This window comes from Homo sapiens, chromosome 16 (assembly GCF_000001405.40).
Source record: "Homo sapiens chromosome 16, GRCh38.p14 Primary Assembly".
Classification (NCBI taxonomy): Eukaryota; Metazoa; Chordata; class Mammalia; order Primates; family Hominidae; genus Homo; species Homo sapiens.
The window spans coordinates 66,859,478-66,873,258 of NC_000016.10; the positions used below are offsets into that span (position 1 = coordinate 66,859,478).

The 13,781-nt window shown below is 48.5% G+C and overlaps 1 long non-coding RNA gene across 1 annotated transcript in view, besides 1 other annotated feature; it reads right to left on the minus strand.

Annotated features, from left to right (window-relative positions):
• Window positions 1-13,778, minus strand: part of LOC124903699 (uncharacterized) — a 31,823-nt gene extending 18,045 nt beyond the window's left edge. The window contains exon 1 of the long non-coding RNA XR_007065088.1: window positions 13,638-13,778. This is a non-coding gene — a long non-coding RNA (uncharacterized LOC124903699). The remainder of the gene's footprint in view (window positions 1-13,637) is intronic.
• Window positions 5,557-5,750: a silencer, noted in NCBI's record as "fragment chr16:66898937-66899130 (GRCh37/hg19 assembly coordinates)". NCBI's record gives its function as "represses an EF-1alpha promoter that drives an FKBP-Casp9 reporter gene in an ReSE screen in K562 erythroleukemia cells {active_cell/tissue: K562}" and the evidence as "EXISTENCE:reporter gene assay evidence [ECO:0000049][PMID:32094911]".
• Window positions 13,779-13,781: the final 3 nt, after the last annotated feature.

Genomic DNA, 13,781 nt, shown 5'->3' on the forward strand with positions numbered 1-13,781 from the left:
AGAGGGGCAGAAGCCTCAGCTGCAGAGAGCATTTACCAGACAGAAAAAGAAGGCCTGGCTCTTGCCCAGCCTGTATCAACAAAAAGAAGAAGTGGGGCTGAGGAGACAGGGGCTCCCAGGCTGCAGAGATTTCAAATGCCAGGTAGAGCTTTACCCTTACATCCACAGGCCATGGGGGTCATTGAGGTCTAAAGCAGGGGCTGAGGACCTCCTGGGCTGGAGGAAGAGGACTCTTCCTGAGGCTTAGAGAGCACCAGGCATCACTTAGTTTGAATCCACCTTCTAACCCAGGGCTTGAGTGCAAATTCTGGCAAGTGCAATTCATCAACTTCTTCTGCTGCCTCTCCTCGGCCCTGCAGGATGGAATCATGCCTGGACCCTGGCAGTTTCCAGTTTGGCAGTCTATGAGTGTAACCTACATTCCTCCAGCTGCAACTCAAGTGCTTTTGTCTTCTGGGACATAGGAGGGTGAGCAGATGGTTCCTTTATTCCTACCAAGAGGCCCTCTTAGACTGGCATTGCGAGAAAGGCATAGGGGCACGTGAGCCCTGGGGGTCCCTCAGGTTTTTGGGAAGAACTTGAATCTCTTTCTCCTCCTCCTTTCTCAGCTCCTGCTCTCAGCATGAATGTCCAGACACAGGAGATACCAGAGGGCACACAGCCCTGTCTCTCCAGTTACCTAGACCCCCCAGGGACCTGGAGCATAGGCCCTTGCTACTGCTGATCTTGAGTGTTCAGGAGCAGGGTTTGGAGGTATAACTTCTTCAGCCAGAGCGAGCCATGATGGGGTCAGTATGCCATCTAGGAGCTGGGTGTCATGGCTCACACCTGTAATCCCAGCACTTTGGGAGGCCAAGACAGGCAGATTCCTTGAGCCCAGGAGTTCAAGACCAGCTTGGGGAATGAAGAGCAAGGCAATAGCAATGATTCTACAAAAAAAAAAAAAAAAAATACCAAAAACTTAGCTGGGCATGGTGACATGTCCCTGTAGTCCCAGCTCCTCAGGAGGCTGAGGTGGGAGGATTGCTTGAGTCTGGGAGGTCGAGGCTACAGTGAGCTATGATCCTGTCACTGTACTCCAGACTGGGCAACAGAGCAAAACTCTGTCTCAAACAACAACAAAAACAACAAGAACAACATCACACAAGCCATCTAGGGAATCCTAGGGCATCTAAGCTAATCCTATTATATAGATACAATAACTGAGGCCCAAAGAGGAAACAGTCTGTCAAAGTGAGTTGGCAGGAGAGCTAGGATTTATGACTTTTCACTCTATCCACACAGCATTATGTAACAGAAAGACCCCTGCCACTTGGCCAGGCTCAGTGGCTCACACTGGTAATCCCAGTGCTTTGGGAGGCCAGGGTGGGAGGATCACTTAAGCCCAGGAATTCAAGACCAGCCTGGCAACATAGCAAGACTCTGTCCCTACCAAAAATAAATAAATAAATAAAATTAAAATTAGCTGATGGTGGCAGTCCACACCTCTAGTCTTAGCTACTCAAGAGGCTGAGGTGGGAGGATAGCTTGAGCTCAGGAGCTCTGAGCTCTGATCACACCATTTCATTCCAGCTTGGATGACAGAACAAGATCTCATGAAAGAAAGAAAGACAGAAAGAGAGAGAAAGAGAAGGAAGGAAGGAAGCAAGGAAGGAAGGAAGGAAGGAAGGACGGACGGAAGGAAGGACGGACAGAAGGAAGGAGAAAGAAAAAAAGAAAGAAGGAAGGAAGGAAGGAAGGAAAGAAAGAAAGAAAGGAAAGAAAGAAAGAAAGAAAGAAAGAAAGAAAGAAAGAAAGAAAGAAAGAAAGAGAAAGAAAGAAGAACTCCCCGCTCCAAATAACTCCCTGGCAGCTTGTCATAGTGCCTGAAATCCTGCCATTGGATGTGCACTGTGCACAGGTAAGACATGGTTGCCTGATGAATGCAAGTGCCGCTGCGAAGGCCACAGTCAGTAACACCTTGTTGGGATGAAAAGGAGGATGTTATCGCCTCCTTTTCAGTCTGCTGTGTGAGCGCTTCGCCAGGCCTCAGTTTCCCCATTTGTAAAATGTGTCCATGGGAGTCCTGGAAGGCCTCAGGTAGAACTTGAAGGAGGAGAGAAAGTGGATTCCCTCCCCAGAAGTAGAGTCAGACTTGTGGCTGAGCTGGGGGGCAAAACACACAAGATCTCAGGCTATGGGTCACCCCATGTGCCTCCTAAACTGAAAGGGGCCACGGGGCTGGGGCAAAACCAGCAAGGGCTAATAACTGGAGGAGACCCCAAGCCCCCCAGACCTTAGTCCATCAATGTGACAGGACCATCTGTAGGCTGAATTTCCCAGCAGCCCAATAATAGGAGCGCAGAGCGAGATTTAATTGATTTACAGAAAATAAAGGCATTCTATGTTTTTCACATATCCAAGTTCGTGAACCATGACCCATACAACAACGAGGTCTGACTTTCAGAGAAGTCAATGCTTGGAAATGATTTCTTTCCTGGAGAGCGTGGCTCTAATGGTACAATTCCAGGCAGGGCCAGGTGAGCTGAAAAGATATTTTGGAGGCCGCCAAGCCTTCGAAGGTCTGGCCCGAGCACTAAATCCAGAAACCTGTGGTTTCTGGGGGTAGTGGAAAGACCCTGGAGGGGAACCCCTCCCCACTTTGCAGCTCTGGTCCACTGAGTGCAAAGAGGCTCACAGGCACCCTTTGACCCCAGGCTGGGGATGGAGTGCTCAGCGCCAACCTGGCTGCTTTAGCCGGCAGCAGGGGTGGCTATGGCAACTCCTAGGGGCTCAGGTCAGGGCATCAGCATCCAGTTTTACAGTCTTTGAGGCGCCTGCCTTGAGCCTGGCACCCCGTGAGGTCAGAGGTCATAGGTCATGATGCAGGGGTTTGGAGAAGTACCAGTGAGCAAAAATAAATGAGAGGGGGCCTGGAGAAAAATATCAGGTGTCTGTTAGCAGGCGAGAGCTTAACCACCTAAGCCAACCTTGCCAAGTCTTTGCTGTAAACTAAGACCCCTAGAGATGAACCCTCAGTATCTGAAGCACTCAGAACCTGCTATGGCCGGAGGTGCTGGGCTTTGCATTTCTTTTTCTTCCTTCTTTTTCTGCCCCTTTTCTGAAAACTGGGCTTGCAACTGTGGAAACGGAAATGAATAGCCAGCATTTAAGGTTCTGCTATCAGACCCAGAGCTCCTCACCTCTAAATATGTTTTTTAAGTTTTTTTCTTTTAACTTTGTATTTTGATATTTTATGTTTTATTTTTTTCATTGTATAGACAAGGTCTCAGTCTGTCACCCCAGCTGGCATCTGGTGGCTCAATCACAGCTCACTGCAGCCTCAACCTCCTGGTTCAAAGGATCCTCCTGCATCAGCCTCCCAAGTAGCTGAGATTATGGGCGCATGCCACCACGCCAGGCTATTTTAACATAATTTCAAACGTACAGAAAAGTCAAAAGAATAATACAATGAGAACAGGCATGGTGGCTCATGCCTGTAATCCCAGCACTTTGGGAGGCTGAGGTGGGCAGATCACCTGAGGTCAGAAGTTCGAGACCAGCCTGGCCAACGTGGTGAAACCCCGTCTCTACCAAAAAATACAAAAATTAGCTGGGCATGGCGGCACACACCTGTAGTCCCAGATACCGGAGAGGCTGAGGTGGGAGAATAGCTTGAACCCGGGAGGCAGAGGTTGCAGTGAGCAGAGATCGTGCTACCGCACTCCAGCCTGGGTGACAGAATGAGACCCTGTCTAAAAACAAAAAAACAAGGACATTCTCTTACATAACCACAGTACAAGAATCGAAATCAGGAAACTAGCATTGCTGCAATACTATTATCTAATCCACATACTTTGTTCAGATTTTGCTAATTGTCCTAATAAGGCCTTTATAACAACAACAACAAAAAAAAACCCAGACCATGCACTGCAATTAGCTGCTGAGTCTCTTTAGTCTCCCTTTATCTAGAACAACTTCCCAATCGCTTTGTCTTTGACCACATTGATAAGGTTGAGAAATACTGGTTAGGGCCAGGCGCGGTGGCTCATGCCTGTAATCCCAGCACTTTGGGAGGCCAAGGTGGGAGGATCGCTTGAGCCCAGGAGTTCAAGACCACCTCCGGGCAACACAGTGAGACTCTGTCTCTACAAAAAAAATTTAAAAATTAGCAGGGCATGGTGGTGCAGCACCCTGTGATCCCAGCTATTCAGGAGGCTGAGGTAGCGGATCTCTTGAGCTCAGGAGGTTGAGGCTGCACTGAGCCAATACTGTACCATTGCACTCCAGCCTGGGCAACAGAGGGATACCCTGTCTCAAAAAAAAAGAAGGGGAGGAGAGGGTAGGGAAGGGGAGGGGAAGGGAGGGGAAGGGAGGGAGGGGGAAGGAAGACAACTAGTTAGGTAGTAAGATATCCTCAAATTGGGTTTGTTTGATGTTTTTGCATGAAAATATTGAGGTTATTTTGTTGGAATATAATTAAAAATGATCAATTTTCAGTGTCATATCAATATCAATAGGCACTTGATATTGATTTGTACCTTTTTTGGTGATGTTAATTTTGATTTTAATTTTTTTATTGAAATGTAATATAGGTACAGAAAACTACATACCCTCCTTCTTTAAGGTTTTTTTTGTTTGGTTGTTTGGTTGGTTGGTTTTTTTTGAGACGGAGTTTTGCTCTTGTTGCCCAGGCTGGAGTGCAATGGCGTGATCTCGGCTCACTGCACCTCCACCTCCTGGGTTCAAGCAATTCTCCTGCCTTAGCTTCCTGAGTAGCTGGGATTACAAGCGCCCGCCACTGTGCCCAGCTAATTGTATCTTTAGTAGGGACCGGGTTTCACCATGTTGGCCAGACTGGTCTCGAACTCCTGACCTCAGGTGATCCACCTGCCTCAGCCTCCCAAAGTGCTGGTATTTCAGGCATGAGCCACTAGGCCTGGCCAGTATATACCCTTGATGCACTTTCACAACCTGAACACATCTGTGTAAGTAGGATCCAGATCAACAAAAGTGTATTTCCTGCACCCCAAGCCCCACATGTCCCCACCGAGTTATTACCTTCTCAAAGTAAACATCATCCTGACTTCTAAGAGTATAAATGATATTTGCCTGACTTTGAACTTCCAATAAATGAAGTCATTCTTTTCAGAAACCTCTTTTATTTCCGGATTTTTTGCTTATGTTTGTGAGATTCTCAGAGCCTACTTTTATATTAATAAATCCAATGCCTCCCATTATGAGCCTGAAATGAAATTCAAACTAATCTATGCACGCAATTTCAAAAAATCACTTTGATGCCTTAATTGTAATATAAAGGGCAGTAATTTATAATATATAATACAATATATGTATTTAAATGAATATAAATAAAATTGTATTTATAGGCTGGGCACGGTGGCTCACGCCTGTAATCCCAGCATTTTGGGAGGCCGAGGCGGGCGGATCATGAGGTCAGGAGATCAAGACCATCCTGGCTAACACAGTGAAACCCCGTCTCTAATAAAAATACAAAAAATTAGCTGGGCGTGGTGGTGGGCGCCTGTAGTCCCAGCTACTTGGGAGGCTGAGGCAGGAGAATGGCGTGAACTCAGGAGGCGGAGCTTGCGGTGAGCTGAGATCGTGCCACTACACTCCAGCCTGTGCGACAGCGTGAGACTCTGTCTCAAAAAAAAAGTAAAATAAAATAAAAAATAAAATTGTATGTATATACACAAATCATGTAATTTTAAATAAAAATAATATTTATGTCAGTATGTAAATGGTGGGGGACAACGCCACTAAAGATGTGATGAAGTCTTCTGATGTTTGTACCCATATTGTTTTTCTTCTTTTTTTTTTTAGAGATAGGGTCTCCCTCTGTCACCCAGGCTGGAGTCTGGTGATGCGATCATAGTTTACTGCAACCTTGACCTCCTGGGCTCAAGCGATCCTCCTGCCTCAGCCTCCCCAGTAGCTGGGGCTACAGGTGTGCACTACCATGCCTGGCTAATTTTTGTATTTTTTGGTAGAGATAGGGTTTCACCATGTTGCTCAGGCTGGTCTTGAACTCCTGGTCTCAAGTAATTCTCCCACACTGGCCTCCCAAAGTGCTGAGATTACAGACATGAGCCACCACACCCAGCCTGTACCTTATTTTGAAGCTCCATAAATAGCGGCTTCAGATGCATACCAGGCAGAGGAAAGTGAGTCTCTTTGCCCCCACGGTGTGAGTTTCCTAGATGATGATAACTCCTGGTAAAATTCTCAACACAAAGTACCATCTTCCCTCATTTCACATGATAATTGTATTCTTGGAAAATATTCTACATTTTAAGACTGTGCAAAAATCCCTTTGTGTTTCCAAATAAAACAGAGCAAGGTTGTAGGTTCAAATGATGATAAACAGATTGTTCATCAGATACCTGTAGAGACCTGGTTAAACAAAACAAAACAAAACAAAACAAAACAAGACTGGGCATGGTGGTTCACGCCTGTAATCCTAGCACTTTGGGAGGCCGAGGCAGGAGGATCACCCGAGGTCAGGAGTTCGAGACCAGCCTGGTCAACATGGTGAAACGCTGTCTCTACTAAAAATACAAAAATTAGCTGGGTGTGGTGGTGGACATCTGTAATCCCAGCTACTAGGGAGGCCAAGGCAGAAGAATTGCTTGAACCCAGGAGGCAGAGGTTGCAGTGAGCCAAGATTGTGCCACTGAACTCCAGCCTGGGCAACAGAGCGAGTCTGTCTCAAAAAACAAAACAAAACAGATCGTTCACCTGTCTGAACATGCTGGTGGGACACTCGAAGGTCAGGAAGAATTCAAACAATCCCTTGTTGTGTGGAACTGGGGAGGAATCCTGGCACCTGTGACCACCCCAAATGCCAGGGGTCTCCCCATCCATGTGACAATCCCTTCCCCGAGATGCTCTTCAGAATGGTACAACAAGCCTAGGGGACGAGAGGAGAAGCTACGCTTGGGGGAAGTGCACCCCAGGAGGGCAGTGAATAAAGTGTTGGGGTTGGTCTGAAGGAGGCGGAGGCCCAGGTGGGAACATTGACAAGGGACTCTGAGGTGCAGCATCCCCATAGCCAAATCCTGGGGGAGCAGGCTGGTCTCTGGGGGTGGAAGGTGGGGGGACCCTATAAGGGCCTTGCTGCCCAAGACCCCAGGCTTTCTGCAGAGGATGCAACAGAACCTATACTTCTCTGGGTCCTGCATGGACCTCTTCTGCTCAACTGCTCTGGGCCCTCCACGAACTGCACCCCTGAACAGACAGTGGGGGCCCTGTCATCTATAGCTCCTGTGGAGACCTCTGTGGGCTGAAAACCCACTTAAGTCACACACCAAGAGGATGACGGGGTCCTCAAGTATGTCACTAAACAGAAAAATAGTCCAAAATGATACCGAACTGACAAGTAACTACAGGGAAGGTAAACATAATTGTGATTTCCCTCATGTTGCTTTTGTTTTAATAAAATGTTAAGTAACAAATTGTTTTAGAGCACCTTCCTTTGGTGTCTTTGAGAACATGCTCCATGTGCCTGTGGAATGGCCCATCAGTGAACAGTCCATGAACTGACTCATTTAATCAGACCCAAGACCTTTTTAAAAAATAAGTAATTAATTAATGTTTTGAGAGAAGGTCTCACTGTGTCATCCAGGATGGAGTGCAGTGGCGCTATCATGGCTCACTGCAGCCTTAACCTCTTGGGCTCAAGCGATCCTCCCAACTCAGCCCCCAGAGTATCCACCACTCCTAGCTAATTTTTTAAATTTTTAGTAGAGATGGAGTCTCCCCATATTGCCCAGGCTGGTCTTGAGCTCCTGACCTCAAGCAATCCTCCCAGCTTGGCCTCTCAAAGTGCTGGGATTACATGCATGAGCCATTATGCCCAGCCAAGACCCCAAACCTTCTGAGATAGGTACTATTCTTTCTCTCATTTTTGTTTGTTTGTTTGAGACAGAGTCTTGCTCTGTCGCCCAGGCTGGAGTGCAGTGGCAGGATCTCGGCTCACAGCAACCTCCATCTCCCAGGTTCGTGATTCTCCTGCCTCAGCCTCCCGAGTAGCTGGGATTAAATGCACCTGCCACTACGCACGGCTAATTTTTGTATTTTTAGTAGAGACGAGTTTCACCACCTTGGCCATGGTTGGCTAGGCCGGTCTCGAACTCCTGACCTCAGGTGAGCCTCCTGCCTCGGCCTCCCAAAATGTTGGGATTACAGGCATAAGCCACTGTGCCCGGCCTTATTCCCATTTTGCAACTGAGATACTGAGGATCAAATTGATTAAGACATTTGCTCTGGGTCACACAGCCAGGAGTTGCTCGGGCCACGATTGGTCTATCCCAGAACGAAGTCTGAGCAAGCTCTAGGCCCCTGAAAAGGAGTAAAGCCCCCCGCCCCACACTAGGTCCCTGAAAAGGAGTGAAGACACACACACACACACACACACACACACACACACACACACACACACTCCACACTCTTCCACACTCTTCCTCCCTCCACTCTGGGAAATGAGAAGCTCAGGTGCTTCCCGCAATCTGTTCTCGCCCCCTGGTGGCCACGTTTAAAGCTGCGGCTGTGTCTTCAGTGCATCCTAGCCGGGGATCCACCACCCGGGGCCTGAGCCTGGCTGTGCTGGAAAAGAGTTTGCCTGGCAGGTTGCTACTTGTCAAACTATATAAAATATTTTTGCTGTTGTTTATCTCCTGTTTCACTGATGCCCTCAGCTCTTGCTTCTTCTGCTGGCTAGAAGCTCCGGCACTGGACGGAGCAGACAGCTGGCCAGCGCCACAACCACTGGACTCCTGGGGAAAGGACGTGCACTTCTCCCCGAAACTATGAAGGATAGAAGAGGGCAGAGGGCCGGGCGCGGTGGCTTACGCCTGTAATCCCAGCACGCAGGGGCTCACGCCTGTAATCTCAGCACTTTGGAAGGCCGAGGAGGGCAGGTCTCAAGGTTAGGAGTTCGAGACCACCCTGGGCAACACAGTGAAACCCCATCTCTGCTAAAAGAAAGAAAAAAAAAAACTAGCCAGGCGTGGTGGCACATGCCTGTAATCCCAGCTACTCGGGAAGCTGAGGCAGGAGAATTGCTTGAACCCAGGAGGTGGAAGTTGCAGTGAGCTGAGATCGAGCCACTGCACTCCAGCCTGGGTGACAGAGCGAGACTTCATCTCCAAAAAAAAAAAAAGAAGAAAAAGAAGAGGGCATTCCAAACAGGGAACAGCAAGGGCAAGGGCCTGGAGGCAGTTACATGGAACTGAAGGTGTGAGAAAAAGCCAAATTAAAGTTGACCCAGGCCAGGCATGGTAGCTCATGCCTATAATTCCAGCACTTTGGGAGGCCAAGGTGGGTGGATCACTTGAGGTCAGGAGTTCGAGACCAGCCTGGCCAACATGGTGAAACCCCATCTCTAATAAAAAAAAATACAAAATTAGCCGGGTATGGTGGTGGGTGCCTGTAATCCCAGCTACTTGCGAGGCTGAGGCAGGAGAATCGCTTGAACCCGGAGGGCGGAGGTTGCAGTGAGCCGAGACTGTGCCATTGCACTCCAGCCTGGGCAACAAGAGCTACACTCCATCTCAAAAAAAAAAAAAAAAGTTGACCAAGGCGGGGCGCAGTGGCTCACGCCTGTAATCCCAGCACTTTGGGAGACCCATCACTTGATCTACTTGGGTGGATCACTTGAGGTCAGGAGACCAAGACCAGCCCGACCAACATCTCTACTAAACCCCATCTCTACTAAAAGTACAAAAATTAGCTCGGTGTGGTGGCGTCTGCCTGTAGTCTCAGCTACTTGGGAGGCTGAGGCATGAGAAGCTTGAACCTAAGAGGCGGGGGTTGCACTGAACCGAAATTGCACCACTGCACTCTAGTCTGGGTGACAGAGCCAGACTCTGTCTCAAAAAAATTTTTTTTTAAAAATAAAATAAAGTTGACCCAGTCTTCAGCATAGCCTGGAGATGGGGGTGCCCTGATTACAGTGACAGGTCCTAGTTCTTCAGACAGAAATAGCTCTTGAGCCAAGGAAAGGAGGGCAGCTGTGCTCCAGCACTCTGCATACTTCTCCCTGCCCCCCATTCTGCAGTGAACACACAGCTGGGGGAGGGTCTGCCCCCACAATATACATGGGAACGGCTGCCCCCATTCAGCAGATAGAGAAACTGAGGCTCCAAATGCAGTTGAGGTTCCTTGCACAAGTCACTCATTTGACCAATGGCAGTGCTGGGATTCTTGTGTCTGCCCAGCCTCTTAAACTGCCACATCACATGGGGTACCCTGTGCCAGGGGAGGCTCTTGTCTTTGGGGAAAGTAGAGGTCATGGGCTGTGCACTTCCTACACAAGCCTCCAGGCCAAAGTGTCCTCCTGGTCCTCAACAGGGAAGAAAATATACCCAGTTTGGATTCTCAGACTTCTATGGAGAACTGGGTTGTTCAGGTGAAGGTTTATAGGGTTTGATTGTTGCTAATGGCTGATTAAAGAGTGCTTGACTTTCTATGAGTGTGTTTGAAACTGTATTTCCCATGGAGGCAGTGGGGGTCAGGGAGCAGGCTCAGAAATACCCATACATTGTTAGCACCCTGGAAATGAAGGCAATGCATGGGTATATTTAAATTATAGTCTTTCTTTACCAATGATTTTGCAAAGGAAAAAGAGGCTAGGTGCAGTGCCTCACGCCTGTAATCCCAGCATTTTGGGAGGCCAAGGCTGGCAGGTCACCTGAGGTCAGGAGTTCAAGACTAGCCTGGCCAACATGGTGAAACCCCATCTCTACAAAAATACAAAAATTAGCCAGGCATGATGGTGGGTGCTTGTAATCCCAGCTACTTGGGAGGCTGAGGAGGAAAATCGCTTGAACCTGGGAGGCAGAGGTTGCAGTGAGCTGAGATTGCACCATTGCACTCCAGCCTGGGCGACAGAGTGAGACTCTGTCTCAAAAAAAAAGAAAAGAAAAAGAAGCATAGGCCGGGCATGGTGGCTCATGCCTGTAATCCCAGCACTTTGGGAGGCCAAGGCGGGTGGATCACCTGAGGTCAGGAGTTCAAGACCAGCCTGGCCAACATGGTGAAACCCTGTCTCTACTAAAAATACAAAATTAGCTGGGCGTGGTGGTGCATGCCTGTAATCACAGCTACACGGAAGGCTAAGGCAGGAGAATCATCTGAGCCCGGGAGGTGGAGGTTGCAGTGAGCCAAGATCTCACCACTGCACTCAAGCCTGGGTGACACAGTGAGACTCCATCTCAAAAAAAAAAAAAAAAAGCATAAAATAAAAAATTAAAATTAAGTTATAGTCATTATCTAAAGATAAATAAATAAAAAACCACAGCATGGAGCTGGAGATGCTAACTGTCTTCCCTGGAGGAGCATACAGGAGCTCTCTCTCTGACTTTGGAGATGTCCAAACTGGCTCCTTCAACTACTAAATGTGGGAAGCTTCCAGGAAAGTGGCTTGATGGGAGTCCAGAGAATGGGGTCCAGACCCACCTCAGCCAGGAGCTTAAAGTGGGATTCTAGAGAACCTGCAGAAGAAGGCCGGGTGCGGTGGCTCACACCTGTAATCCCAGCACTTTGGGAGGCCGAGGTGGATGGATCACGAGGTCAGGAGATCCACACCATCCTGGCTAACATGGTGAAACCCCGTCTCTACTAAAAATAAAAAAAAATCAGCCGGGTGTGGTGGCACGCGCCTGTAGTCCCAGCTACTCGGGAGGGCGAGACAGGAGAATCGCTTGAACCCTGGAGGTGGAGGTTGCAGTGAGCCGAGATGGCACCACTGCCCTCCAGCTTGGGCGACAGAGCGAGACTCGGTCTCAAAAAAAAAAAAAGAGAACCTGCAGAAGTCAGTTTAGGTCTCTGTACTTTATTTTACACCTTAAAGAATGGATGGGCTGGGCGAGGTGGCTCACATCTCCAATCCCAGCATTTTGGAAGGTCAAGGCAGGAGGATTGCTTGTACTCAGGAGTTTGAGACCAGCCTGGGCAACATAGTGAGTCTCGTCTCTACAAAAAATAAAACTTAGCTGGGAGTGGTGGCACATGCCTGTAGTCCCAGTTACTCAGGAGGCTGAGGCAGGAGGATTGCCTGAGCCCAGGAGGTCAAGGCTGCAGTGAGCTATAATCACGCCACTGTACTCCAGCCTGGGCAACAGAGCAAGACTCTGTCTTAAAAAAAATGGATAGAAGGGTGTCTCACAAAGTACATGGGTCCAGCCAGATGTGACTAGTTTCTACAGCAAAGAGGAGGTTCATGGGGAAACATTTGGCATTGCTGCAATAAAACTGGATGGATTCCTTTTACTGCAGAATTTTAAAGCCTTGACTATACACACTGTGCATTCTGAATCTCTTCCAAGGTGGGGTAGTGGGCTATGGATCTTTTCTCTCAGAACATTTTGTGGGATCGTGTTCCAGGGAGCATGCTTTAGGAAAGCAGGAGGGAGATGCCCTCTCAAGTCCTTTCCAGCCCTGGCCCAAGGGTTGGAGATGGGGCAGGCAGCCCTGGCCATAAAATCCAAGCCCTTCCTTTGGCCCACAAGGCCAGGACCTTTGCCCCTGCTGTTTTCTCTCCATAACTTCCTTCAGATCTCTCCCGAAAGCCTTCCTGGATTTCCTATCTACAAGGGCGGTGCCTCCAGTCCTCACCCACAGGGCAGGTGCAGCTGCAACCTGGCCTCTTCTCTGTTGCCTTCTTGCCCCAGAGAGTGGGTGTGCTGTGTCTTCTTCCCTCCCACTCCTATGTGTAAGTGTGTAAGGCAGACTTTAATGAATTGTTCCTGATTATTAAATATATGTTCCATGTTTAAAAATAAGAAAAGTAGGCCAGAGGCGGTGGCTCACGCCTGTGATCACAGCACTTTCGGAGGCTGAGGCAGGAGGATTGTTTGAGTCCAGGAGTTTGACACCAACCCCGGGTAACAGAGCGAGACTCTGTCTCTATTTAAAAAAAAAAAAAAATGAGTAGGGCTGGAGTGGTGGCTCACACCTGTGATCCCAGCACTTTGGGTGACTGGAGAGGATTGCTTGAGCCCAGGAGTTCAAAACCAGCCCTGGCAACATAGCAAGACCATGTCTCTATTAAATAAATTAGTAAAAAAAAATTTTTTTTAATTAAAAAGATATAAGAATAGTAAATAATGAAATAAATGGAAAAATAAAGAATGTAAGAGTTCCAGCTGGGCTGTGGTGGTGCACACCTGTAGTCCCAGCTACTTAGGAAGCTGAGGTAGGAGGATCTATTGAGCCCAGGAGTTCAAATGCAGTGAGCTATGATTGCGCCACTGCACTGCAGCCTGATGGGAGACTGTCTCAAAAATAAAGAAATAAAGAAATAGACCTACAGTTTTATGACCCAGAGATAAGCATTGGTAACTGCTGGCTTGTGTGTCCTACTAAACTTTTCTCTGCATATAAACAGGTGTGCACACGGGGAGGAAAAGGGGATAGAGAAGAAATACAGAAATAAATCGTTGTTGTTATCAAAACGCCTTCTCTTTGTCGTAAACGTGTTTTTCCACTTGGTGTTCTGTCCTGGCCAATTCCAACCGCGCGCCTGCTCAGGCCGAGGTGAGATCCCTGCAGCCCCAACCTGGGGTGCTGACACCCTTGCACACCACCCTTGTGCGCAGCCCCCAGTGCTCGCATGCTTTTTGCATAGAGTTGCTCACCGGCTCGCTCCGACCAGGGCTTCCCCGGAAAAGGTGGGGAGGGGCTCCTAGGCACTCGCGGTTTCCTGGAGATCCACCGTCTCCCTGGGTAGCTCAGGCCGGTGCTCCAAGGCCATTGCCTGCTGACGCAGCCGACTCTGCGGT